This window comes from Homo sapiens, chromosome 1 (genome assembly GCF_000001405.40).
Source record: "Homo sapiens chromosome 1, GRCh38.p14 Primary Assembly".
Lineage (NCBI taxonomy): Eukaryota > Metazoa > Chordata > Mammalia > Primates > Hominidae > Homo > Homo sapiens.
Genome location: NC_000001.11, coordinates 193,707,482 through 193,734,873, shown reverse-complemented (window position 1 = coordinate 193,734,873; position 27,392 = coordinate 193,707,482). Strand labels below are relative to the sequence as shown.

General features: G+C 37.1%; 1 long non-coding RNA gene and 1 pseudogene across 1 annotated transcript in view, besides 2 other annotated features; one reads left to right on the top strand and one right to left on the bottom strand.

Moving 5' to 3' along the window:
* Positions 1 to 27,392, bottom strand: part of LOC124904475 (uncharacterized) — a 765,263-nt gene that overhangs the window by 484,674 nt on the left and 253,197 nt on the right. The gene's annotated exons all lie outside the window — the stretch shown is intronic.
* Positions 2,934 to 3,015, top strand: LOC124904676 (uncharacterized; annotated as a pseudogene).
* Positions 10,721 to 11,327: an enhancer, noted in NCBI's record as "OCT4-NANOG-H3K27ac-H3K4me1 hESC enhancer chr1:193692677-193693283 (GRCh37/hg19 assembly coordinates)". NCBI's record gives its function as "activates a minimal SCP1, AML or CMV promoter by ChIP-STARR-seq in naive H9 embryonic stem cells {active_cell/tissue: H9 hESC(naive)}" and the evidence as "EXISTENCE:reporter gene assay evidence [ECO:0000049][PMID:30033119]".
* Positions 11,328 to 11,936: an enhancer, noted in NCBI's record as "OCT4-NANOG-H3K27ac-H3K4me1 hESC enhancer chr1:193692068-193692676 (GRCh37/hg19 assembly coordinates)". NCBI's record gives its function as "activates a minimal SCP1, AML or CMV promoter by ChIP-STARR-seq in naive and primed H9 embryonic stem cells {active_cell/tissue: H9 hESC(naive and primed)}" and the evidence as "EXISTENCE:reporter gene assay evidence [ECO:0000049][PMID:30033119]".

Here is a 27,392-nt window from a genome sequence, read left to right as displayed (position 1 = left end):
CAGCATAGCATATTGCATTATATGATATAGTCAAGTAGTAGAGAATTCCGGTTAACTTATAAAAATTGTAATTTTCAAAATAGAAATAATAAAGCATATTTTACAAAATTATTTTAAACACAGTTTTATGTTTCTTTGATGACACAGAGAACTTTTTATGGTACCTCTGAGATATTTAATAAATATCAATCATCTTTGTACTGTAAGAATCCAATAGTGCCCATAACCAGAATGTGCTTGGAATTGAATGATTAAAAAGCACAATAAAAACTATAAAAATGAAAGCCTACTATGTGGTAATTACTAATAAGTTACCATAAATATTTAGAGATTTAAATGATGTAGACTTTTAACAAAGTCTCCAATGTGAGGTGTGTTATTTCCAGAATGTTGGCATTTTAATGTATACATAGCTGTAGTTTTCAAAATTTCTTATTTTTCTCAGAGACCTGTCTTGTCTAGTCCATAAATATACAAAAAGGAATTTGTTTCATTTCCTTTCTCAATGTCACTCAAATAATAACATCAGCCAAGAATTGGATGAAATGCTCTGGTGAGGAATCTTATAGTAAGATGAAATCATTCAGTGAATTGTCTGATATTTCACAATGATTCAATTTTATTCCTCAGGATAAATCCAAATGAGCACAGAAATCTCCTAGTATTATAAACTTTTCCCTGGGGCAGTTCTACAAGATCTGCATATTACCACTTTATTGCAGAATGAGAAGTTATACAAACTATTGAATTACTGTCAAATATACTTGTATGATTTTTACTGTCACTTTCCTAACTTTAAAAGGGGAAAATATCCTTATAAAATATTTTAATGATCAAAACAGACAAATATGATTTAACCAAAAAATTTTGAGAATATCTTAAAAAAATCAATGGTGCCACCGAATAAATAAAAAATCTTTATATATACTTCACAGAATCATCCAATTTCTCACAGAGTTTTCTTGATTAACCTGTCACACATGACAGAAATCACACTGACTCGTGCAGTAATCTATACACTGATTACTGACAAATGTCAACATACCTCCCACAGTCTGGTATTTGTTAGACCATATATGGTCAGGCTATTATATCCTTTTCCATTTTAGTTATGTTTTTCTTCCATCCCGTTATTTTTTTATATGTGTACATTCATCTCAGTTTTAGTATCCAGGATAACTCAGAATATGATAATAGGGATTTTATTTTATTTATGTTCTCCACCTTCCTTATGTTCGAATTTTTTTTGTTGTTGTTGTTACTGTGGACAAAATTAAGGCAGGATTCCTACTAAATTAGAGGGAGGCATGGTGCATCAGAATCCCCCCCGGCAGGAAGGAACTTTTTCAAACTACATATACCTCCCTCAGAATCTGATTCACTTATCCGAGAGAGTATAATTTCTTTCCTACTAGAAACTACTGCCACTGAGATTCATTTTCACTGATGGCCATGTGTCAGATGCTCAAGTTTTGGGTTAGAAAAAAATGATTGAGGAGCGCAATTCAAAGGAAAACTTGGGGCTCCTCTCCATCCACCCTGTCCACCATGCAACACTGTCTTTAAGGAGAAAAAGTGCTGCTGTAGTTGAATAGGCTTTAAAACTTTATATGGGTCACCATGAGTAATTAACCTCCCTGGGTAACTAATAGTCACAGTTCATTTCTAATAATTGGCTCTCTTCAGATATTTACCCAGCAAGGTGCATTAGTCCTGAATTGTGGGTGCAGCTGCCTGAACAACAACCTCTTCCCCTCCATCCTTAATCCAAGGAACACTTGGCACAGGTGGGGTCCTCAACACATGGGCAAATTACTCTTGATTTCTTTTGCTTGCTATATAAATACTTGATCTCTGCTCACATCAAAGTGATCAAATTCAGGTTTGAAATTTAAGTTAAAAAGATAGAAAAATCAAGTTCTTAAGCCTGCTTTACTTCTAGGCTACCAAGGTTTGAAATATTTCTCTTTGCCCTACAAGTTGAATATTCTTCATCTAAGAATGAGCTGGCCTAAGCCTTACCCCAAGCATCTTCAGCTATGAAGTCTAACTTCAGAATTTCCAGGAAAGTATTATTTTCACTTATTTGTATATAGTACATACTATTTTTCACTTGTGCATACAGTCTAGAATTACAACTAGTAGGGCCCAATGAGAATCTTTTAAAATCAGACTACATCTGATACATGAACTAATTCATTTACATGAACATAAATAATAATGACTACTAATGTAATGATGAATGTGAAGAAAATAGAAGAAATGTAAAATTCATCTATTATTTATACTGGTTAATATTTTTAAAAAGCTATTTCTCGTCAAATCTTTTCATATCTATATGGTTTTGCTCTGAACTGGAAACAAGGGCCACACGTTATTCTTTTTTGTATCCTAACAGCATATAATACTTAGCAGTGAAAATGCCAAGTACTTAATTATTCACTGACAGTTCAACCACAGATATAAGGATATATTGATTTATTCAACAAAAATTAATAAGACAATACTTTCAGGGATCATTTCCACAGTTCATTACTAGAGAAGTTTCTCTGAATGTGTAGAGCAGGGGTCCCCAACCCCAGGGCAGCAGATCAGTACCTGTCCATAGCCTGTTAGGAACCAGGAGGTGAATGGCAGGCAAGCGAGCATTACGGCCTGAGTTTCACTTACTGTTCGATCAGCAGTGGCATTAGATTCACATTGAAGCTTAAACCCTATTGTGAACTGCACATGCAAAGGATCTAGGTTACGTGATCCTTATGAGAATCTAATGCCTGATGATCTGAGGTGAAACAGTTTCTTCTCAAAACCATACCCCCACCCTGGTCCTTGGAAAAGTTGTCTTCCACAAAACTGGTCCCTGGTGCCAAAAAGGTTGGGGATTGCTAATGTAGAGCACTGGAAACCAGAAGAAGGTGCAGGGTTCCCTCACTAGCGTGAAGCTGGCTCTTGGTGCTCCTTCACTGAAAATGCCATTTGCCATTGATGATCGCTCTTCCCTTCCTCTGGGAGGATGCAGTCTGAGTGTTTTTTCTTGTTAAAACAAAATTAAGAAGCACATATCTGTGTCAGACAGTGTTCTGATGACAAAGTTACAAATTATACTTACACAATTTGCACTTTTTTGTAATACTATCCACTTAAAGAATCTTGAATCTTGTGAAGATAATCTTTTCAACTAGGAAATTGTAAAGAAATATCAGGTACAAAATTTAGTATATTCTTATAAAATAACATTTATACAGTTAAAATTATGGATAGAAATGCAAGCCACATTGATATTTAGAACTAATAAGCTAGAAAGTCCAATCTTACATTTCACTTCATAGGTGCTGTTTGTTATTACATAAAGTACAGAATAAATATCCATTACTACGTGTAACTGCATAATTCCTAAATATTTTGAAATAGATTGTTTTACCAGATGTTCAGTTTTAGATGTGAATTTTTCTTTTGCTATTCAGCAATGAACACAAAACTTTTAGCTTAAAAATACATCTATATTTATCAAGGATTTTGAAGGTAGATTTGCTTTTCTATGGTGGATAAATCCATATGAAGCTTACATCTACTAGAAGCAGCAGACATTTATCCTCAATTCAGTCCGAAACATTTATTTGCCTTTCTCCACTAGAGGTTCATGTCATCTAGAGGTCTTACAGAAAGGTTAAAATTTCCCAGCGGCATTTTTATTCCGTTTCCTTTCCTACAACTGAAAAAGCCCACTGAGGTGGTAGCTTAGATGAAGGAAACGAGAGAGAATGATGAGGAAATAGTAAATGTGAGAGTTAAGTAGTTAAATACAGCAATGTAAATTCCCAGCATAACAATAATTCAGTTGTGGTCAGAATCCTACTATAAGCTAGTAGTTTATTTTGTATTCCATTTTTATAATAAATATCTATTGGCTGGGCACAGTGGCTCATGCCTGTAATCCCAGGACTTTGGGAGGCCGAGGCGGGTGGACTGTGAGCTCAGGAGATCGAGACCCTCCTGGCCAACACAGTAAAACTCCATCTCTACTAAAAATACAAAAATTAGCTGGGCATGGTGGCACGTGCCTGTAATCCCAGCTACTCAGGAAGCTGAGGCAGGAGAATCACTTGAGCCAAGGAGTTGGAGGTTGCAGTGAGTCAAGATCATGCCACAGCAACCCAGCCTGGTGACAGAGTGAGACTCTGTCTCAAAAAAAAAAAAAAAAAGAAAAGAAAAATTATTAAGCATCTTACATAATGTAAAATTGTTTTTTAGGTGACGTGTGTATATTTTGTGTGTAACTACACATATATATGTATACAAATACACATAAATTCACATATATGTATGTGCATACATCCCTCCCTAAAGAAAATTATCCTATTTTATATAAAATCCATTATAGGATAAATTAGAGGTATGTAAGATAAGTAAAGCACCTCTTTATATCACCAAAAGAGACAGGCAGGTAACACTTTATTTCTAGAAAATTTTTTCTCCATTGGGATTCAGGTATCTTGATATCCTAGAACAATCTCAGTTATGCAAGTTCATTTCAAATCATTATTTGATGAAGACATAGTGATTCTGAAGCGCTGCCAGTGGCATCCAGATTTTAATGAAGTGGAAGTTGTACCACGTTGACAACTGAGTCATAGCTGTAAGAAGCTCAGCTCAGATAAGGAACCTACAAATCTGCAGATCAAATGGTAAGCAGAATCTTCTTTGCCAGTAATGAAGGTCACGGGTATTGCATCACAAGACAGAACTACTTTTATAAAATCAGAGATTTAAAGTGGAATCAAGAGCTGTCAACAAGAAGCAAGATAAGGAAATTAGGGGATTAAAACTACCTGTCAAAAGCACCTGACTGTCTTGTATTTTTTTAAGCAAAATATGTTGTAATCAACATAAGAGTCCGTGCTTAAAAATAAATAGTCAAGGTTTACATAGAGAAAAATACATAGGACAAATTACTCATTTTCATGTAACAACAGAGTTAGTGGATATTAACACAACAGAAGGTAGACAAATTATGAGGTCATTAGCTTTTTAAAAAATAAACAACTTTTACTATAAAAATAAAATATGAACATAGTAAAAATGTGAAGTAGGACGAGATAATATAAGTGAAAAGCAGAAGTCTCACTTGTAAGAACTGTGATCCATCTTTATTTGTCCACATGAGCCATTGTTATCCCAACTTCAGCTATTGAATTGAAATGTCACCTCGCATACACAAATAGACATATGGGTCTGTTCCTGGACTACTCTGCTCTGCTGAGTCACTATCTGCACCAGTGCCAAAGATCCTATAGCTTTAAAGTACAATTCAACATTTGATAAGACCATTCTCTGCCTGTATTACTCCTCTTTTCCAGCCACTTTTGTATATATATTTCAGTTAAACTTTTTTTATTCTTAACAATTCTATTTGGAAATGCTATTGACATTGCCTTGACACTATAGACTTTATTAACTTAGGGAGAATACATATCTTCATAATATAAAATATCCCTCCTAAAGATAGAGGTATTAACTAAATTGAATTAAACCTTGGGAGTAGCGCAGAGTGGGACAAGCAGGTAATTAAAATGGACCATAATATATTATATATCATAAAAATAAAATGTCACATTTCTCCTGAAAAGGATGAGCTATTTATAGCTCAATAAATAATCATTGATAATGTTAATATTATTCCACTGACAAAACATGTTGGCTTCTTCCGATAAAAATTATATAACCATTAAATGTCTTTCTTTAGCACAATCCTCAACATTCCAAAATCTATAACCAGAAATCAATGATTTCATAACCAAATCACACAAAGGGAAGGGAATTACTTGATCTCACACACAAAACAATCCCAGCATGAAATTAGAGGATGGAATTATAGAAGGCCCCACTATATATTAATATATATTTGGGTTTTTTGTTTTGATTTTGAGACAGGGTCTCATTCTGTTGCCCAGACTGGAGTGCACTGGCAAAATCTCAGCTCATTTCAGCCTCAATATCCCAGACTTAAGCTATTCTCTTATCTCAGCCTCTCAAGTACTTGGGGCTACAGGCATGTGCTACCACACTCAGCTAATTTTTAAGTTATAAATACCTAAATATATATGTATATATATATATATAGAGAGAGAGAGAGAGAGAGAGAGAAGAGATTGGATTTTGCTAAGTTGCCCAGGCTGGTCTTGAACTCCTGGACTCAAGCAATCCACCTGCTTCAGCCTCCCAAAGTGCTGGGATTACAGGCATGACCTACTGCACCAGGCTAAAATTTGTTTTTTATCACAGTGTATGACATGGGTTTGAAATGCATGATATGTGTCCATCTATTAGCATAAAGAGGAAAAGCCACTTGCTTGCAAGTTGCAAGAGTCAATAACAGAATATAGGAGTAGATATTTTGTCTGACTGCTACAAGATGCTCTCCATCAGGGTGACTCCCATTTATGACATCAGGTAAAAATTCAAGCAGCAAAATGGTAGAATACCTCTGGATTTAAAATCAGAAAGTCAGGTTTTATGTTCTAGTTATTTAGCAAGTGACAAACTTTGTGAACCTCATCAATAAAGTGAGGATACTCATACACTAGTTCTTGTGATCATATGAGATTATATGTTGAACTTGCTCTCTGAAACATAAAGCATTTTACTAAATACAAAATCATCTCAATTTATTATCATGTAGGCAAAATAGAGTTTTGGTCAAAATCATATATAGATCGTTTCTCAAAAGTTATTCTATACCCAGTAGATGCCAACTAGCTTCACAACCTGGGAAGCTATTTTGTTAATTGCCACCCTAGAGTATGTAAACAAGCCTCCAAATGGCCTTCTACTCAGATTCACAGCATGAATAGCAAAACTAAGGGGGCCTGGGAACTATCTCCAACTTTTTTGTTTGTTTGTAGAAGCTCTACTGAAAAGTGATAAGTTCATCTTAAATAGGCTTAATTTTTAGAGCAATTTTAGGAAGAAAATTGAGAGGAAGGTACAGAGAGTTTCCATGTAGCATCTGTCCCACACACCCACAGCCTCCCCTATTATTGACATCCCCCCCCAGAGTGGTACATGGTTTTTTGGTTTTTTGTTTTGTTTTGTTTTATACAGTTGATGAGTCTACACTGAAACATCATCATTCAAAGTCCATGGTTTACATTTAGTGTTCACTCTTGGTGTTTTGCATTCCATAGGTTTGGAGAAATGTATAATGACATGTAGCCATCATTAAAGTATCACAAAGAATAGTTGCATTGCCCTAAAAATCCTTTATGCTCTACTTATTCATCCCTGCACCTAACTTTTTATCTTATTGCCCTTCATCTCTTTTTTGTAGCAGAGGACTTTTACTCTAGAAATCACTGCATTGCCTTTGTTTGTTTTTCCCCAACAGTGCAGAAACTTCTTACTTAAAACATCAGACACCATCATAGTGTTTTACTAATCAAACTACAAGAAATGTTGAAATGGAGTGGAGCAATTTGAGGAAGGTTTTATTTTAATTACAAGTTTGAATGCCTCTTTATCCAGGCTTCTCATATCCAATCTCATCACCACGGTCATTTGGGTCACTTAAAAACAATCAGTTCTCAAACCAGTTATAGTCACTAAAATATGTTCCTCAGCTCAATAGTTTCATGTGCCTTGCTGGTCTCCATAATAACAATCAACATACAGATTCCATATTATGTGAAATTTGAAATTCTAGTAATGACAAATGCAATTTCTTTATCAAGAAAGATTAAACCAGTTCATTTGCCTTATTTTAATCAGAATCAAGTATGTATGACAAGCTGAGGCAAATCATTGCTGCTCAGGGGGTTGATGAAATATACTTCTTCCCACCTCAGATTGTTTGTTTTTTCAGTTCATTAGGAAGCTCTCAGGAACGCTGCATATATACTTGGTGTACTTTATTTGACGCAGGGAATTAACACTTAACATTTCTTCAAGGTTGAGTAAAACAGATTTATACAGTCCTCTCCCCACACTCCTTCTGCTCATGTTGCCTAATCAAAATGTATTTCAGTTTGTCAGTCCAAGGCACTCTGCTGAGAATGTTTAACAAGGAAACTGAGGAGATAAATGTCAGTCTCACAGCACCATCAAGAACACAACACCCTCACGAGAAAACCACAGCTAAATCTATTGTGTGATAAAGCACATCAGTGTGAGATTCTTCCATTAAAAAAAAAAAAAAAAACAAGCTATGAGGAGGGGAGAATTAAATAATTATTACCTTAAAAACAGAGTTAACAAAAAGGGGTGGTATTATAACTAAAAATGACCAAAATTGGGAGTTGAATACAAATATTTAGTTTCTCATGTACAGTTTCCTCATCTATAAGCTAGGAAAAAAATATTCAGCACTCACATGGTTTCACTTTTTAAAAATTGGCCATTATGATTTCTAGAAAAAAAATCATTCTAATTCTTATTACACAAATATTCTGATTATTTGATAGAACATAATTCGATGTATTAATCTTTCCATAAGCAAGACTAGAGGTTTCTGGTGAAACTTTTTTACTTATCTTTGTTACTTATTAAAGTTTTTGTTGGTTTTGTTTTGCTTTTAACATTAAAATAGACATGGTTAAGCTTATTTTAATAAGTTCATGCTTATAGTATATGATAGCAGTTTGCTCTAGAAAAGTAATTATTGCTTTATTATGAAGCTATTATTAAATAATATAAAAACAATGGGTGATTGGATTGAAAATAAGAATTCAAGGAAGATATACCAAACCAATAGTATTACAAAATTAAACCGCATTTAATTAATCAGCTCTTTAATAGAATTAGTTAATGTAGTTAGAATCAAACAATTCTAGCCACAAATAGAATAGTCTCATATTCTTTTGAGAAGAAAGCAAAAATTATATGAAAATCATCAAATCAGAAGAAGATATAGCTACAACAGGCATATACACAGTCAGGTACAGAAGATCAAGAAGGGACAAATGGCAATCAAACAGAACAGTGTACAGAACTAAAACATGAAAACTCACTGGTTTAAAAAGCACAGGATTTTGTGTAATACAACCCTACATTCTTCAGTAAATTCCAATAATTATGATATCATAAGTTTTGCATTCAACAACCATCATCATTCACTGTTTTCTCCTTATACGTAGGATGCTATAGTAGATGATGGGAAAACAGTGACAAGTGGCCCCTATGTCCATAACATTTACCACATTATAAGGATGACAAATGACCAGTCAAGTGCAATACTCATCATAAACAGTGTGATGGCAGTCATCCATGTTCTGTGGGAGCCTGCAGGATGAGAGAAGAGAAGGAGGAAGGAAGAGAACTTTGTCTGTTATATCTTTTATATTTGAAAGGAAGTCCAAAAAGTTTTGCTATTTAGTAAGATGCCTCTGGATGTCTTATGGAAAATGGAATTGCCATATGTTTAAGACTGTAGACAGGGTAAGACTAAGAATCCAGACTCACTAGAAAAGAATTAAGTAATAATTTATTGTCAGAAAGGAACGTAACAAATTCAAAATTGCTATAGTAATTTTTAAAGCTTCGATGCTTTAATCAGCCACCTAGAGCCTTTGGCTACTTAGAGGTAATAAAACCCAAGTTTCCTAATTTTCTTTTTGAATAGTTTTAGATTTACAGAATATTTGCAAATATAGTTCAGAGTCCTCATATACTCTTCACCCAGCTTTCCCTCTTAAGTGTCTCATGAAAAGAAATCAAATGTAGCTTCCTCTGTAGTTCTCTGGTGGCTCTGTTTAAGATGCAGCTGTTTTCACAACTGCAGAAATTAAAGTGCCCAGAGGAAACTCAGGTCAACAAAAGAGCAAGAGGAGAATGGAAATCTCTAATGAAGGAGATAACTTTTTAAATGGATCTTCAGGTTGGGTGCAGTGGCTCATGCCTGTAATCCCAGCACTTTGGGAGGCCAAGGCAGGTGGATCATTTGAGGTCAGGAGTCGGAGTACAGCCTGGCCAACATGGTAAAACCCCTGTCTCTACTGAAAAAAAAAAAAAATACAAAAATTAGCCGGGCTTGGTGGCAGGTGCCTGTAATCGCAGCCACTTGGGAAACTGAGGCAGGAGACTCACTCCTACCTGGGAGGCAGAGGTTGCAGGGAGCCAAGATCGCGCCACTGCACTCCAGCCTGGGCATGAGAGCAAGACTTTGTCTCAAAAAAATAAAAATAAAAATAAAGGGATCGTCAATGTAACATCAATTGTTTAGATATTACTATAATTTAGATGAATCAACTGATTCAGGTTATGTGTGATCTATATTTCTGTATATTTCCATCCTATACCCTTTGAACACATTTTATAGTCCCCTTGTTTTTATGCAATAAAGTAGAAATTCATGAGTTGACTCTGATTTTTCACTGTGAATCTCTAAAAGTATTCCCAGAGGCCTACAGAGATAAAATCTGAAGTTAGACCAGTTACATAAATCAGAGCGGTCAAATAATGATGCTTGTGGATCCAGAAATGTCACCAGCAAGTAGTAGTTAGAGTTTGATTATATAAGATCTTAGGTGTCTGGGTTTTTTAAAAATATCAATTTGGTTTATATTCTAAATGGTTAATTAAAAAACTGAACAATTATAAAAATTAATATAACTGCTTTGGATTTGCTCTAATCAGTAAAGAAACACTTAAGCATTATGAAAGTTCCTGTCACAGTTCTGATTTGTATTTTTCTGCATTAATTAAAAATTGGTTTTAATCCAAGTATCAAAGATAATGAAGAAAAACAAACACTTTAGAAATTTAATAAGGTCATTTAACGAATCCTGTGGAAAACTTTCTTGAGATGTTACTTTGGAAGGTTTTTCTAATTTTTTTCCAATAAAAAGTAAATATGATGTGCACAAGTTTTCAAAATTTAAAATACATACATTATGGAAGTATTTTTCAATATATCTGTATCATTCATTCAAATTTTTAAAAAACAAAATAGGTCTACATGACAATTTTTATGTTAGAAAATTGTATTCTAGGGAGGAGCCAAGATGGCCGAATAGGAACAGCTCCGGTCTACAGCTCCCAGCGTGAGCGACGCAGAAGACGGGTGATTTCTGCATTTCCATCTGAGGTACTGGGTTCATCTCACTAGGGAGTGCCAGACAGTGGGCGCAGGCCAGTGTGTGTGCGCACCGTGCGCGAGCGGAAGCAGGGCGAGGCATTGCCTCACCTGGGAAGCGCAAGGGGTCAGGGAGTTCCCTTTCCGAGTCAAAGAAAGAGGTGACGGAAGCACCTGGAAAATTGGGTCACTCCCACCCGAATATTGCGCTTTTCAGACCGGCTTAAGAAATGGCGCACCACGAGACGATATCCCACACCTGGCTCAGAGGGTCCTACGCCCACGGAATCTCGCTGATTGCTAGCACAGCAGTCTGAGATCAAACTGCAAGGCGGCAACGAGGCTGGGGGAGGGGCGCCCGCCATTGCCCAGGCTTGCTTACGTAAACAAAGCAGCCGGGAAGCTCGAACTGGGTGGAGCCCACCACAGCTCAAGGAGGCCTGCCTGCCTCTGTAGGCTCCACCTCTGGGGGCAGGGCACAGACAAACAAAAAGACAGCAGTAACCTCTGCAGACTTAAGTGTCCCTGTCTGACAGCTTTGAAGAGAGCAGTGGTTCTCCCAGCACGCAGCTGGAGATCTGAGAACGGGCAGACTGCCTCCTCAAGTGGGTCCCTGACCCCTGACCCCCGAGCAGCCTAACTGGGAGGCACCCCCCAGCAGGGGCACACTGACACCTCACACGGCAGGGTATTCCAACAGACCTGCAGCTGAGGGTCCTGTCTGTTAGAAGGAAAACTAACAACCAGAAAGGACATCTACACCGAAAACCCATCTGTACATCACCATCATCAAAGACCAAAAGTAGATAAAACCACAAAGATGGGGAAAAAACAGAACAGAAAAACTGGAAACTCTAAAACGCAGAGCACCTCTCCTCCTCCAAAGGAACGCAGTTCCTCACCAGCAACAGAACAAAGCTGGATGGAGAATGATTTTGACGAGCTGAGAGAAGAAGGCTTCAGACGATCAAATTACTCTGAGCTACGGGAGGACATTCAAACCAAAGGCAAAGAAGTTGAAAACTTTGAAAAAAATTTAGAAGAATGTATAACTAGAATAACCAATACAGAGAAGTGCTTAAAGGAGCTGATGGAGCTCAAAACCAAGGCTCGAGAACTACGTGAAGAATGCAGAAGCCTCAGGAGCCGATGCGATCAACTGGAAGAAAGGGTATCAGCAATGGAAGATGAAATGAATGAAATGAAGCGAGAAGGGAAGTTTAGAGAAAAAAGAATAAAAAGAAATGAGCAAAGCCTCCAAGAAATACGGGACTATGTGAAAAGACCAAATCTACGTCTGATTGGTGTACCTGAAAGTGATGGGGAGAATGGAACCAAGTTGGAAAACACTCTGCAGGATATTATCCAGGAGAACTTCCCCAATCTAGCAAGGCAGGCCAACGTTCAGATTCAGGAAATACAGAGAACGCCACAAAGATACTCCTCGAGAAGAGCAACTCCAAGACACATAATTGTCAGATTCACCAAAGTTGAAATGAAGGAAAAAATGTTAAGGGCAGCCAGAGAGAAAGGTCGGGTTACCCTCAAAGGAAAGCCCATCAGACTAACAGCGGATCTCTCGGCAGAAACCCTACAAGCCAGAAGAGAGTGGGGGCCAATATTCAACATTCTTAAAGAAAAGAATTTTCAACCCAGAATTTCATATCCAGCCAAACTAAGCTTCATAAGTGAAGGAGAAATAAAATACTTTATAGACAAGCAAATGCTGAGAGATTTTGTCACCACCAGGCCTGCCCTAAAAGAGCTCCTGAAGGAAGCGCTAAACATGGAAAGGAACAACCGGTACCAGCCGCTGCAAAATCATGCCAAAATGTAAAGACCATCGAGACTAGGAAGAAACTGCATCAACTAATGAGCAAAATCACCAGCTAACATCATAATGACAGGATCAAATTCACACATAACAATATTAACTTTAAATATAAATGGACTAAATTCTGCAATTAAAAGACACAGACTGGCAAGTTGGATAAAGAGTCAAGACCCATCAGTGTGCTGTATTCAGGAAACCCATCTCACGTGCAGAGACACACATAGGCTCAAAATAAAAGGATGGAGGAAGATCTACCAAGCAAATGGAAAACAAAAAAAGGCAGGGGTTGAAATCCTAGTCTCTGATAAAACAGACTTTAAACCAACAAAGATCAAAAGAGACAAAGAAGGCCATTACATAATGGTAAAGGGATCAATTCAACAAGAGGAGCTAACTATCCTAAATATATATGCACCCAATACAGGAGCACCCAGATTCATAAAGCAAGTCCTGAGTGACCTACAAAGAGACTTAGACTCCCACACATTAATAATGGGAGACTTTAACACCCCACTGTCAACATTAGACAGATCAACGAGACAGAAAGTCAACAAGGATACCCAGGAATTGAACTCAGCTCTGCACCAAGCAGACCTAATAGACATCTACAGAACTCTCCACCCCAAATCAACAGAATATACATTTTTTTCAGCACCACACCACACCTATTCCAAAATTGACCACATAGTTGGAAGTAAAGCTCTCCTCAGCAAATGTAAAAGAACAGAAATTATAACAAACTATCTCTCAGACCACAGTGCAATCAAACTAGAACTCAGGATTAAGAATCTCACTCAAAGCCGCTCAACTACATGGAAACTGAACAACCTGCTCCTGAATGACTACTAGGTACATAACGAAATGAAGGCAGAAATAAAGATGTTCTTTGAAACCAACGAGAACAAAGACACCACATACCAGAATCTCTGGGATGCATTCAAAGCAGTGTGTAGAGGGAAATTTATAGCACTAAATGCCTACAAGAGAAAGCAGGAAAGATCCAAAATTGTCACCCTAACATCACAATTAAAAGAACTAGAAAAGCAAGAGCAAACACATTCAAAAGCTAGCAGAAGGCAAGAAATAACTAAAATCAGAGCAGAACTGAAGGAAATAGAGACACAAAAAGCCCTTCAAAAAATCAATGAATCCAGGAGCTGGTTTTTTGAAAGGATCAACAAAATTGATAGACCGCTAGCAAGACTAATAAAGAAAAAAAGAGAGAAGAATCAAATAGACACAATAAAAAATGATAAAGGGGATATCACCACCGATCCCACAGAAATACAAACTACCATCAGAGAATACTACAAACACCTCTATGCAAATAAACTAGAAAATCTAGAAGAAATGGATACATTCCTCGACACATACACTCTCCCAAGACTAAACCAGGAAGAAGTTGAATCTCTGAATAGACCAATAACAGGCTCTGAAATTGTGGCAATAATCAATAGTTTACCAACCAAAAAGAGTCCAGGACCAGATGGATTCACAGCCGAATTCTACCAGAGGTACAAGGAGGAACTGGTACCATTCCTTCTGAAACTATTCCAATCAATAGAAAAAGAGGGAATCCTCCCTAACTCATTTTATGAGGTCAGCATCATTCTGATACCAAAGCCGGGCAGAGACACAACCAAAAAAGAGAATTTTAGACCAATATCCTTGATGAACATTGATGCAAAAATCCTCAATAAAATACTGGCAAACCGAATCCAGCAGCACATCAAAAAGCTTATCCACCATGATCAAGTGGGCTTCATCCCTGGGATGCAAGGCTGGTTCAATATACGCAAATCAATAAATGTAATCCAGCATATAAACAGAGCCAAAGACAAAAACCACATGATTATCTCAATAGATGCAGAAAAAGCCTTTGACAAAATTCAACAACCCTTCATGCTAAAAACTCTCAATAAATTAGGTATTGATGGGACGTATCTCAAAATAATAAGAGCTATCTATGACAAACCCACAGCCAATATCATACTGAATGGGCAAAAACTGGAAGCATTCCCTTTGAAAACTGGCACAAGACAGGGATGCCCTCTCTCACCGCTCCTATTCAACATAGTGTTGGAAGTTCTGGCCAGGGCAATCAGGCAGGAGAAGGAAATAAAGGGTATTCAATTAGGAAAAGAGGAAGTCAAATTGTCCCTGTTTGCAGACGACATGATTGTTTATCTAGAAAACCCCATCGTCTCAGCCCAAAATCTCCTTAAGCTGATAAGCAACTTCAGCAAAGTCTCAGGATACAAAATCAATGTACAAAAATCACAAGCATTCTTATACACCAACAACAGACAAACAGAGAGCCAAATCATGAGTGAACTCCCATTCACAATTGCTTCAAAGAGAATAAAATACCTAGGAATCCAACTTACAAGGGATGTGAAGGACCTCTTCAAGGAGAACTACAAACCACTGCTCAAGGAAATAAAAGAGGACACAAACAAATGGAAGAACATTCCATGCTCATGGGTAGGAAGAATCAATATCGTGAAAATGGCCATACTGCCCAAGGTAATTTACAGATTCAATGCCACCCCCATCAAGCTACCAATGACTTTCTTCACAGAATTGGAAAAAACTACTTTAAAGTTCATATGGAACCAAAAAAGAGCCCGCATCACCAAGTCAATCCTAAGCCAAAAGAACAAAGCTGGAGGCATCACACTACCTGACTTCAAACTATACTACAAGGCTACAGTAACCAAAACAGCATGGTACTGGTACCAAAACAGAGATTAGATCAATGGAACAGAACAGAGCCCTCAGAAATAATGCTGCATATCTACAACTATCTGATCTTTGACAAACCTGAGAAAAACAAGCAATGGGGAAAGGATTCCCTATTTAACAAATGGTGCTGGGAAAACTGGCTAGCCATATGTAGAAAGCTGAAACTGGATCCCTTCCTTACACCTTATACAAAAATCAATTCAAGATGGATTAAAGATTTAAACGTTAGACCTAAAACCATAAAAACCCTAGAAGAAAACCTAGGCAATACCATTCAGGACATAGGCGTGGGCAAGGACTTCATGTCCAAAACACCAAAAGCAATGGCAACAAAAGCCAAAATTGACAAATGGGATCTAATTAAACTAAAGAGCTTCTGCCCAGCAAAAGAAACTACCATCAGAGTGAACAGGCAACCTACAACATGGGAGAAAATTTTCGCAACCTACTCATCTGACAAAGGGCTAATATCCAGAATCTACAATGAACTCAAACAAATTTACAAGAAAAAAACAAACAACCCCATCAAAAAGTGGGCGAAGGACATGAACAGACACTTCTCAAAAGAAGACATTTATGCAGCCAAAAAACACATGAAGAAATGCTCATCATCACTGGCCATCAGAGAAATGCAAATCAAAACCACTATGAGATATCATCTCACACCAGTTAGAATGGCAATCATTAAAAAGTCAGGAAACAACAGGTGCTGGAGAGGATGTGGAGAAATAGGAACACTTTTACACTGTTGGTGGGACTGTAAACTAGTTCAACCATTGTGGAAGTCAGTGTGGCGATTCCTCAGAGATCTAGAACTAGAAATACCATTTGACCCAGCCATCCCATTACTGGGTATATACCCAAATGACTATAAATCATGCTGCTATAAAGACACATGGACACGTATGTTTATTGCGGCACTATTCACAATAGCAAAGACTTGGAACCAACCCAAATGTCCAACAATGATAGACTGGATTAAGAAAATGTGGCACATATACACCATGGAATACTATGCAGCCATAAAAAATGATGAGTTCATGTCCTTTGTAGGGACATGGATGAAATTGGAAACCATCATTCTCAGTAAACTATCGCAAGAACAAAAAACCAAACACCGCATATTCTCACTCATAGGTGGGAATTGAACAATGAGATCACATGGACACAAGAAGGGGAATATCACACTCTGGGGACTGTGGTGGGGTCGGGGGAGGGGGGAGGGATAGCATTGGGAGATATACCTAATGCTAGATGACACGTTAGTGGGTGCAGCGCACCAGCATGGCACATGTATACATATGTAACTAACCTGCACAATGTGCACATGTTCCCTAAAACTTAGAGTATAATAAAAAAAAAATTAAAAAAAAAAAAAAAAAAAAAAGAAAATTGTATTCTAGACAATAAGCAAAGTCCAGACTTGGGAAAACAGAACAAACTACCTGGTGTGATGGTTAGCTTTATGTGTCATCTTAACTGGGCTATGGGATGTCAAGACAGTTGGTAAAACATTATTTCTGGTTGTTTCACTGTAGGTGTTTCTGGAAGAGACTAGAATTTCAATCAGTAATCTGAGTTAAAAATATCTACTCTCACCCATGTGGCCAAGTATCCTCCAATCCCTTGAGGGCCCAAATTAAAGAAAAATTGGGTAGAAAGGGCAAATTCTGTCTCTCTATGAGCTGGGACATCTATCTTCTCCTACTCTGGGATATTGAAACTCCTGGTTCTCGGACCTTCTTCTAACTCCAGGATTTATACCATTTCCCTCCACCTGCAACCCCATGCCTCTCAGCATCCTCAGACCTTCAGACCAAGACTAAACAATTGTATCATATGCTTTTCTGGGTCTGCAGCTCACAGACAGCATATCATGGGACTTTTTGGCCTCCATAATTCCACAGACCAATTCCCATAATAAATCACCTCTTATATCTATCTATCTATCTGTCTATCTCCTATTGTTTTAGTTTCTCTGGAAAATTCTAACTAATACACCTGGTTTTCTGAACAACAACAACTACTGAAAAACAGAGAGAGAGAGAGAAAGAGGGGTGTAGAAGGCAGAACTTATAGATTAAAAGATAGGTAAGAGATATAAGCAATCACAATGCATGGACTTTATTTTAATCCCAGTCCAAACAACTAAACGGTTAAAAAATGTATAAGATAACCAAGGAAATGTGAACATTGACTGGATATTAAATGACATTAAGAAATTATCAAGATGTGACATTAAAATGTAATAGTGATACCTTATGGTACCATGTATATTTTGCCTCTATCATTTAGAGATACATACTGAAATACTTACAAATAAAATTATACCTTTATTGGTATTTTCATAAAAATAATTTGGAGACAGCAATGTGTATGGGTGAATATTGATAAAACAATACTGTCTATGAATTTAAAATGTCTGATGCTGCTGCTGAAAACATGGAGTTTGTTATAATATCTCCCGGACTTTAAAAAATATTTGAAATTGTCTATAAAAAGAGTATTTCAAAAATGTATTCTAGTACCAGTTCTTTGACTAACTAGACATAGAACCATCAGAAAATCAGTCAATGTCGACTGGGTGCAGTGGCTCACGCCTGTAATCCCAGCACTTTGGGAGGCCGAGGCGGGCGGATCACGAGGTCAGGAAATCGAGACCATCCTGGCTAACAAGGTGAAACCCTGTCTCTACTAAAAATACAAAAAAATTAGCCAGGCGTGGTGGCGGATAACTGTAGTCCCAGCTGCTCGGGAGGCTGAGGCAGGAGAGTGGCGTGAACCCAGGAGGCGGAGCTTGCAGTGAGCAGAGATCGCACCACTGCACTCCAGCCTGGGTGACAGCCCGAGACTACGTTTCAAAAAAAAAAAAAATCAGTCAATATCTTTTGTGCTTTGTTTCCTCTTTGGTGAAACAATGGATAGAATCCAATTCATATTCATTCAACAAGTATTTACAATATTCATTCCAGCTCCAAACAATGTAATTTTCTATTTCTCCCAGTCTGCCACAATTGTTATTAAAAAATAGTTCCATCACCCACTAACTCTACAATGTCATTTTAAGAATCATTGAATTCATTGATTTGTTTAACTGTTTATTCATTCACTTAGTGCCAGTCAACATGCTAGAAACAGATTTAAAGAATAAAGGCATTGAATTTTGGCCTTATTGTCTAGTCGTGTATAAAATTAATACAATTAATGCAGTGAAGTGAAACTCAAAGTAATAAATTATTTAAGTTAAACTGGATTTTTTGATGTATAAACACAAGATTTTAGACAACCCCCTTCCCCCTCCCTAAAAAGCCTCATTCATAAGAAGTCTCTCTTCTTTACAAGAAAGAGGAAAATTCTCATTCATGTTGGCCAAGGAAGAAAGGGCATCCTTTCATGAGGCCAGAAAAATACCCCTCATCCTTAGAGCAAGTTTCAGAAAAGAGTTTGAGGACAGAGTTTCAATAATTAGGTTTTTGCTCTTTCACTCTCTTTTCCCCTTTTAGAAAAATGCAAGATATAACACCAAGGAAAATTATAGAATGGGGAAATTGTGCTCAAGATATAAGGCATAATTTTAACTTCGTTCTTTGTAGTCTCACAGCCATAGTCAGTGCTTTAAGTTCTTTTCAGTGATTAGAAATAGGCAAACAGTAGTGACCATGCCTCAACCTGCATAGAACAGACCCGAGTCTGTATCTCCACTAATTGAACAAATGGCTCTCCTAGGTTGTTCACACTGGGCCACGTGCAAAAATGGTTATGATGCCTGTTTAATTAAGATAGACAGCGTATCACCTTCTAAAACTCAGTGAATATGTTCAAAACACTGTGTATATGCCCTTATTTTCTTCCCCCTCGCTCTCTCCCCCACTAACCTGATTCAAACCAAATATAAAAACTTTAAAATATTTGGTTTACATAGTTTATCTGAAATCATTGCTTGTACACAATAATAGTCACTGATTTCTTAGACCTTGTTGAAATGCAAAACATTCTGTTAGGAAAACCAAGAGACGTTACATCATCTTTCATAAAACTGGCTTTCTTTTTTCTATTTTAAGAAATGTTTCTTTAAAATGTCATGCCTTGTGGGTGGAGATAGACAGATATAACTAGATGCCTTATTGAAAGCAGTGTGTGACAAACTCAGATTTCAAGAACTTGAGAGAGATTTTAAAACGCAGATATCACAGACTCAAATTTACAGGTGCATCAGTAGTTGAATCTTCTAGTAACTATACTCATCTACAATCTTTTAAGAACTATTTTTCCCCTGGTGCACTGAAGGATCCTGCATTTATGGATATTTCAGTATGTATTATTCTTGACACTCTAATATTGTTAGAAAATTGTGATTTTTTTAAAGCTTCCTTTTCCAGAGTAACAATAATTGATTTATACTTTATTACTGTGTATATGGCAGAGAACTACAAATATATTGTGCCTGTTAATTTTTAGTTTAAATATTTCAGATGCTTGCCACTGATCTAATTCTCTTCAGATCAGCTTCCCTTGACCCCGTAGATTCTACCAAATTTTCCTATTATTCTTTTCTATTAAACTCTGCCCTGCATCCATCCCAGTCACACCTTTCGCCTCGGCTCCTGATTATTTAACGTCTCGCTATTTCATTAGTAATGCATATTTAATACTTTCTGAGCCGAATCATTTATTGATATGTAGAGCTGGCCCAAGAGAATGGAATCAGGTCACTTTGGGGCACATAGCCAGAACTGTTTTCCTAAATCCACAACCACAGAACCCTCATAGGTTTGCAATTTCTTTCCCTTCATCAGGGTTCTCATATGTTAGTATGTATCAGAATCACTTGGAGGGCTTGTTGAATCAGACTGCTGGGCTGCACCTGATTCAGCATGGCTGCGGAGGGCCTGACTATCTGCATTTCTAACAAGTTCCCAGTTGAAGCTTGTGTTGCTAGTCAAGTCCACATTTTACAACAGCTCTAGATGAAGGTCTGTGATTATTGAGGCTCTCAGTTATTTCCATCCAATTTAATATATAATTCTATTTTTTCCTATATCTGGAAGAATTCAACAGATTCTTGCCAAAAATGGCCACATCCCATCAAAAATAGTAAACAATGATAATGCTCTATATAATTTTATTTAATCTCAAAAAGCATTTACTTTTATAGTTATTGACATGGTTCATAGAGGTAATGCAAAAAATTACCTATATTTTGTTATGTTTCTACTTTTCCTATTAAATAGGTTTTGTGTTCTGTTTTATTGATAAACTACAGATCAGAGAGATTCAGAGAGTTGCCCAAGGCAAATCAGCTAATAAATGGAACTAGGACTTAATCCTAGGATATGCATAGATGAGTTTTCCTACAGTCCCTTCCTACGCAAAGTATAATCCTCAGGCCAGCAGCACTGCCCCTGACTGGAAGTCTGACACACAGACTCAGGTGCCATCTCAGACCTATTGAATCAGAATCTGCATTTTTACCAAGAGCTTAGGTGATTCTAGGCATAGCAAAATTTGAAAAATACTTTTCTACCTCCCTAAAACAAATAACTTCAGTGAACTTCTTTTGCCTACCAATTTGAGTGCCAGTTTTCACTTTTTAGCACAATTCTGAAGTTTACTCAGCTCGGGTATGAATTTTAGTAAGTGTACCTATGTAATATCTTCCAAGTCAAAATGGACAGGCTCTATCTTCTCTGCCATGTTAAGATTCTATGTACATGTAGTTATTTGGAGACTGGAGATAAATGAGAATTACTTAAGATCATTTTAATTAAAAAAAAAATGAGAGACAAGATCTTTTTTTTTTTTTTGAGACGGAGTCTCAATCTGTTGCCCAGGCTGGAGTGCAGTGGCGCCATCTCGGCTCACTGCAAGCTCCGCCTCCCGGGTTCATGCCATTCTCCTGCCTCAGCCTCTCAAGTAGCTGGGACTACAGGTGGCCACCACCACACCCAGCTAATTTTTTTTTGTATTTTTAGTAGAGACGGGGTTTCACCGTGTTAGCCAGGATGGTCTCGATCTCTTAACCTTGTGATCCACCTGCCTCGGCCTCCCAAAGTGCTGGGATTATAGGCGTGAGCCACCGCTCCTGGCCAACATCATTGTTTTAACAGTAAGTTATGGGATTTTGTTTTTGCTTTTTTATTAAAAGTATTTTATTCCCCAAAGCACCTCACAAGGGGTCTTCCGTAAAGTCACAACCCAATAACATCCTTTTGCTTATATTAAATTGAACAGTATCCGTAACTATTGCTTATTTTTTAGCACTTTATGAATTAAGTTTGACTAGATTAATCCCTATTTTCAAATAAAATCTTTCACCAAAGATAGCCCAGTGAAACTGTTATATTTTAATAAATGCTATTTCTCAAGCTAAAATAAAGACTCAGGCTAAGCAAAACTATATCAACACTATGCCAGAAGTCTTGGAACAAGCATGAAGATCTACAAAGTAAATTAAATTTTCTGTTACTATCTCCATCCCATGACCCTCTCTCTCAACCCTTCATCTAAAATTGCCACAAATGTTCTGTAACTGGGTCAAGGCACACTTGCTTGGGGGAACAAAGACATATTAAGGAACATTCAATATGTCTCAGACATAAGGAGCAAGTGAAGCAAATGTAATATCCTGTCATAAGATGCAAGCATAATTTTCTGCTGTGCCCAGCTTTTGTCCTCAATTGTCAACATGTGACTGTCTTCTCTGACACTCATCAGAAATGCTTTGACTAAATCACAGGAACTTATTTTTATTCAGTATTTGTTTTGCTTCTATCTACAGTAGTTCCCCCATTATCTACAGCTTTGCTTTCCACAGTTTCAGTTACCTGCAATCAATTGCAGTCCAAAAATATTAAGTAGAAAGTTCCAGAAATAAACAATTTATAAATTTTAAATTGAACAGTGTTCTGAGTAGCATGATGAAATCTCACATCATTCTTCTCCATCCTGCCCAGACACGAATTCTCCCCTTTGTCCACCATATCCATGCTCTATATGCTCCCCACCCATTAGTTATTTAGTAGCCATCTCAATCATCAAATCAATTATCTTGGTATTAGAATTGCAGTGCTTGTATTCAAGTCATCCTTATTTCATTTAGTTGTGGCCCCAAAGCACAAGAATAGTGATGCTGGCAATTCAGATATGCCAAAGAAAATATGTAAATTGCTTCTGTTATGTGAAAAGGCTAAAAGTTCTTGACTTAATAAGGAATGAAAAAAAAATTGTAGGCTAAATGTTGCTAAGATCTACAGTAAGAACAAATCTTCTATCTGTGAAACTGAGGAGAGAAAAGGAAATTTCTGCTAGTTTTGCTGTTGCACTTCAAACTGCAAAAGTTACAGCTACAGCCTCAGTGCATGATAAGTGCTTAGTTACGATGGAAAAAGGCATTTGAGACCAGCCTAGCCAACATGGTGAAACCCTGTCTCTACTAAAAATACAAAAATTAGCCAGGCGTGGTGGTGTGCACCTGTAATCCAAGCTACTCAGGAAGCTGAGGCAGGAGAATCGCTTGAACCCTGGAGGCAGAGGTTGCAGTGAGCCCAGACCGCGCCATTGCACTCCAGCCTGGGCAACAGAGAGAGATTTCATCTCAAAGAAAAAAAAAAAAGGCATTAAATTTGTGAGTGGAAGGCATGAACAGAAAATGTGTTCTAATTGACAGCAACGTATTGTGTCAGAAAGCATTCAGCCTATAAGAAGACTTCAGCAAGGGATTTCCCAAAGCAAATGACACCAAGATATTTACTCAAGTTAGAGATAGTTATGTAGACTCAGGAATAGGTTTGGACTGAAAAATATTAAAATTACTGGAGAGCCTGTATTTTCCAATCAAGAAGCTGCTGCCATATTTCCAGCAGTGTTGAAGCAGTTGACTAAGGAGAAAGAATACCATCTAAAGCAATTCTTCAGTTGCAAGGAAACTGGGCTTTTCCAGAAGATGATGCCCAGTGGAACCTACATTCATTAAAGTGCAAAGGAAATACCAGAGCACCAGACATGGAAGGACAGATTAACACTGGTACTTTGAGGCAGCGCTGCAAGGTATATGATAAAACCACATGTATTGTACAGGGTGAAGAACTCATGTACTCTAGAAAACAATAACAAAAGTTGTCTGCCCATGTTCTGGCATTATAATCAGAAAGCCTGGATGACAGCCATCTCATTTATCAAACAGTTTGACCAATGCTTCATCTCAGATGTAAAAAAAATACTTGGACAAGGAAGGGTTGGAATTTTAAGTCTTATTAATACTAGACAATGCACCTGGTCATCCTTAACATGTTTGCTATGAAAATGAAAAACTCAAAGTTGTGTTTTTACCTCCAAATATAACTTCATCACTTCAGTCCCTTGATCAGGACATCCTTAAGATTGTCAGGGTCATATGCACCTACCTAGTATGTGATTGCATTTGATCAGCACCTGATACAGACCCTAATCTGGAAGTAATGTAGTGCTGGAAATCATTCACTATTGCTGAGGCAGTAACATTCATCAAAGCTGCAATCTTTGAATTAAAATCAGAAACTGTTAAGTGCCTGCTGGAAGAACTTATGGTGGAGTGAAGTAAGGAATGATTTTAAAGGCTGCCCAGGGATCAGTGGAAGAGTTAGTAAAATCATTCATGCAGCAAGACAAGTTGGTGGAGAAAGATTTGCCAACATGCTTCATGAAGAAATGGAAGAACACACTGAAGGCCATTGAGAAGTGTTAAAAATATGTAAGAAATTGGAAAACCTTGTTGAATCATCTACAGAGGAAGATAAAGATAAAAACAAACTGAAGCAGACCTAGCAATGTGGATATTATGAAAATGTGCCAAAGTGCTTCAAATTGTGCAGACATTAAAGGACAAAATTATGGAATAAGATCCTCCGATGGAATGCAGCATTAGTCACAACCTCTGCAGCAATACATTGATGAATTGAAAGGAGACAACAACTTCTGATTATAATGTTCTTCCAAAAGATTCTGGCCAAAAACCCTTTCAACTATCAAGGATACCCAACCATCAACATCATCTGTCTCATCATGATTGCTTGGGTTCAAATCCCACCTCTGCCCAGCTGTGTGATCTTGAATAAATTATCAAAATATTTCTTAGTTTTTCCATCTGTAAAAATTAAAAAAATAATAGTGTCTTTTTCATACAGTTACTAACTGGATTCAAAATGATAAACCATAACATTCTTTCTATGTATTAAAGTCTAAAATTTGCTTCTCAGTCCTAATATCTTTGCTATTCAACATGATTATAGCTTGATTTTCCTTAAATGCCAAACTACTAGTACAGAGCACTTGCCAAATTTACCGTATCACATGAGGTAAGATGAGCACTTGGAACTCAGCAGGTAAGTGCTAAATTGCCTAATGCTGATTCTGAACTTACTCAAGGTCAACAGGAAAACTAAAGCACAGCAACTGGCAAGCCTGGCTTCATCATTCATGGCATTTCTGCTGAATCATTAGCTCCTTGCTGGCACATTCAGCAGATTCTTATGTCAGGTGTCCCAGTACACTGATCTTTTGATGCACCCTAGGCACTCAGTGAGCTAGAGTCAATAGAAGGAAGAAATGCAAAAGAGTCAGATTAAAAATATAAGCCTTTAGTATAAATTTAGCAAGACTTATTTTCATAAGCCAAAGAAATAGATCTCCTGACACTATGGTTAAGAGGTTAGAAGTATAGATATTGACATAGAAGTATAGATATCAATATAGATGCAGACATAAATATAGATCAAATACGCTACGTTGAATTACATTTGTCAATAGAGCTTGGCTATAACCATTTCCATGAACTTTTTCTTGATAATACTGGTCTTTGGATCAATTACAAAATCTTATGCATTCTTTTGTCAGGACTATGAAGAGAAAGGAATCAGATAATAAATGAGGCTATAAGTAATTTGTAAATATTACCATGTAGAGAAGAGTGAATGTAATATCCCCTTTATGCTACTATAACAGAACACCATAGACTGGGTAACTTACAAAGAATAAAAATTTATTGGCTCACAGTTCCGGAAGCTGGGAAGTGCAATATCAATGCAGGTTTGCCAATTCCAATCCTAGATGGTGCCTTGAATACTATGTTCTCTAGAGGGAAGAAAGGCTTCATGTTTACATGGCAAAAGGGCAAAGAAAGAGTGCCCACTCCCGTAAGCCTTTTCTTATTACAGCATTTATTAATTCATGGCTTAATCGCTTTTAAAGGTCCCAACTCAATACTGTTACCTTGGCAATTAAATTTGAACATGAGTTTTAGAATATACAAAAACATTCAAACCTAGCAACAAAGGAGGAGTCAAGGAAGTTAAAGACATAAGCAGTATCATGTGGGGTAAACATGTTCTTCTGACAGTGTCATCAGAAGACGTTTTGTGATGGAACACGATGGTCATCCACCACGCTGTTGATCTCAAAACATTAGAAACGTGCCCTGAATCCGACTGGCTTCCTCTTAACAACTTATGTATATAATATTCTTAATGTTACTTAAAATTATTTAATCAATTTATATTTTTAGTCAGTTCTAGGTTTAACTACATGATGCAGGACCCTCAAACCTCACTACCATTTTTTAAAAATCCCTAAAGTTACCTCCACAAATAGAATGTCCTTTTTCATTATGGATTTACCTGTTTACATCTGGACTTCAACCACATTCCCCCATTCACCATATCTTTTAACACTTTTATTTTTAAACATTGTCTGATCTTCTTAGTACCTACATATTTGAAAGATTTTTTCTTTCCATTTTCATTTATTTACCCTGGACCTTCTTTAGTGCTATGGTGTCTGTCTTGCAGTGCAGCAACCAAAACTGTATGCAGCATTCTAGGTAGCACTACAAGACGATATCCAGAGTTAAAAGCTCAAAATGACAGTAGTATAGTCTGCAAGTAACATGTGAGTGGTGAGCTGCGAGGGTAACCTGTGTTAACCTGAATGCTAATAGCTCATCAAAATGTTCTGAAAACAATACCCTGACATAAATTAATCATTCATGGTTCAGGTAAAAATTTCTATGGTTAGATCCTTGGAAACAGATTTTAGAATCAATGAAGAGTGCTTGTAGATGAAGAAGGGATTCTTGTCGATTAAAAATGAGGTGTAGGGAGAGCTTTTTATTGGACTATGTAGAAAAGGAAATTTACCACCTTTTTGACATTTCAGGGGTGGTATTCTACAGGCCATTTCCTTACACTGTCATATAACACTGCTTATAATTAATCCTGTATTTATTCTCAGGAAGTTTAAGTCAAGGAAGCAGTGGTTTTCAAATCACCCCGGTGTTAACACTCATTACTCACCAGAGGCTGCAATAATATGTAAGAGGTTAGCTGACAGATTAAACTGAAATTGAGCATAGGCTATTTGTATTTTAATCTTCCATGACCAGTTTGTTTGACATTAGTATAAATTTAAGAAGCCTGAAAAGCATAGCTAAAATAAACAATCAGTCCAACTCTGTGATCTCATTCCTCAGTCCTCATTCTTACCCTCACTCTGAGTGCTAGTGCGTGTTTGTGTGTGTGTACTATAGGGAGTGGCACTGAGGGGCAAGAAAAAGTGAAATAGGCACAAAAGTGAAAAGGCACAATTAACTTTACTTTGTGAAATGAAAGTAATAAATTGTGTCCCATTGTAGCCCTGAAGCTGCTCTTCATTTATAAAATGTGGATAACTATGACCCATAGAGCTTAATGAGTAACAAAAGAAATTGTATATTCCAAA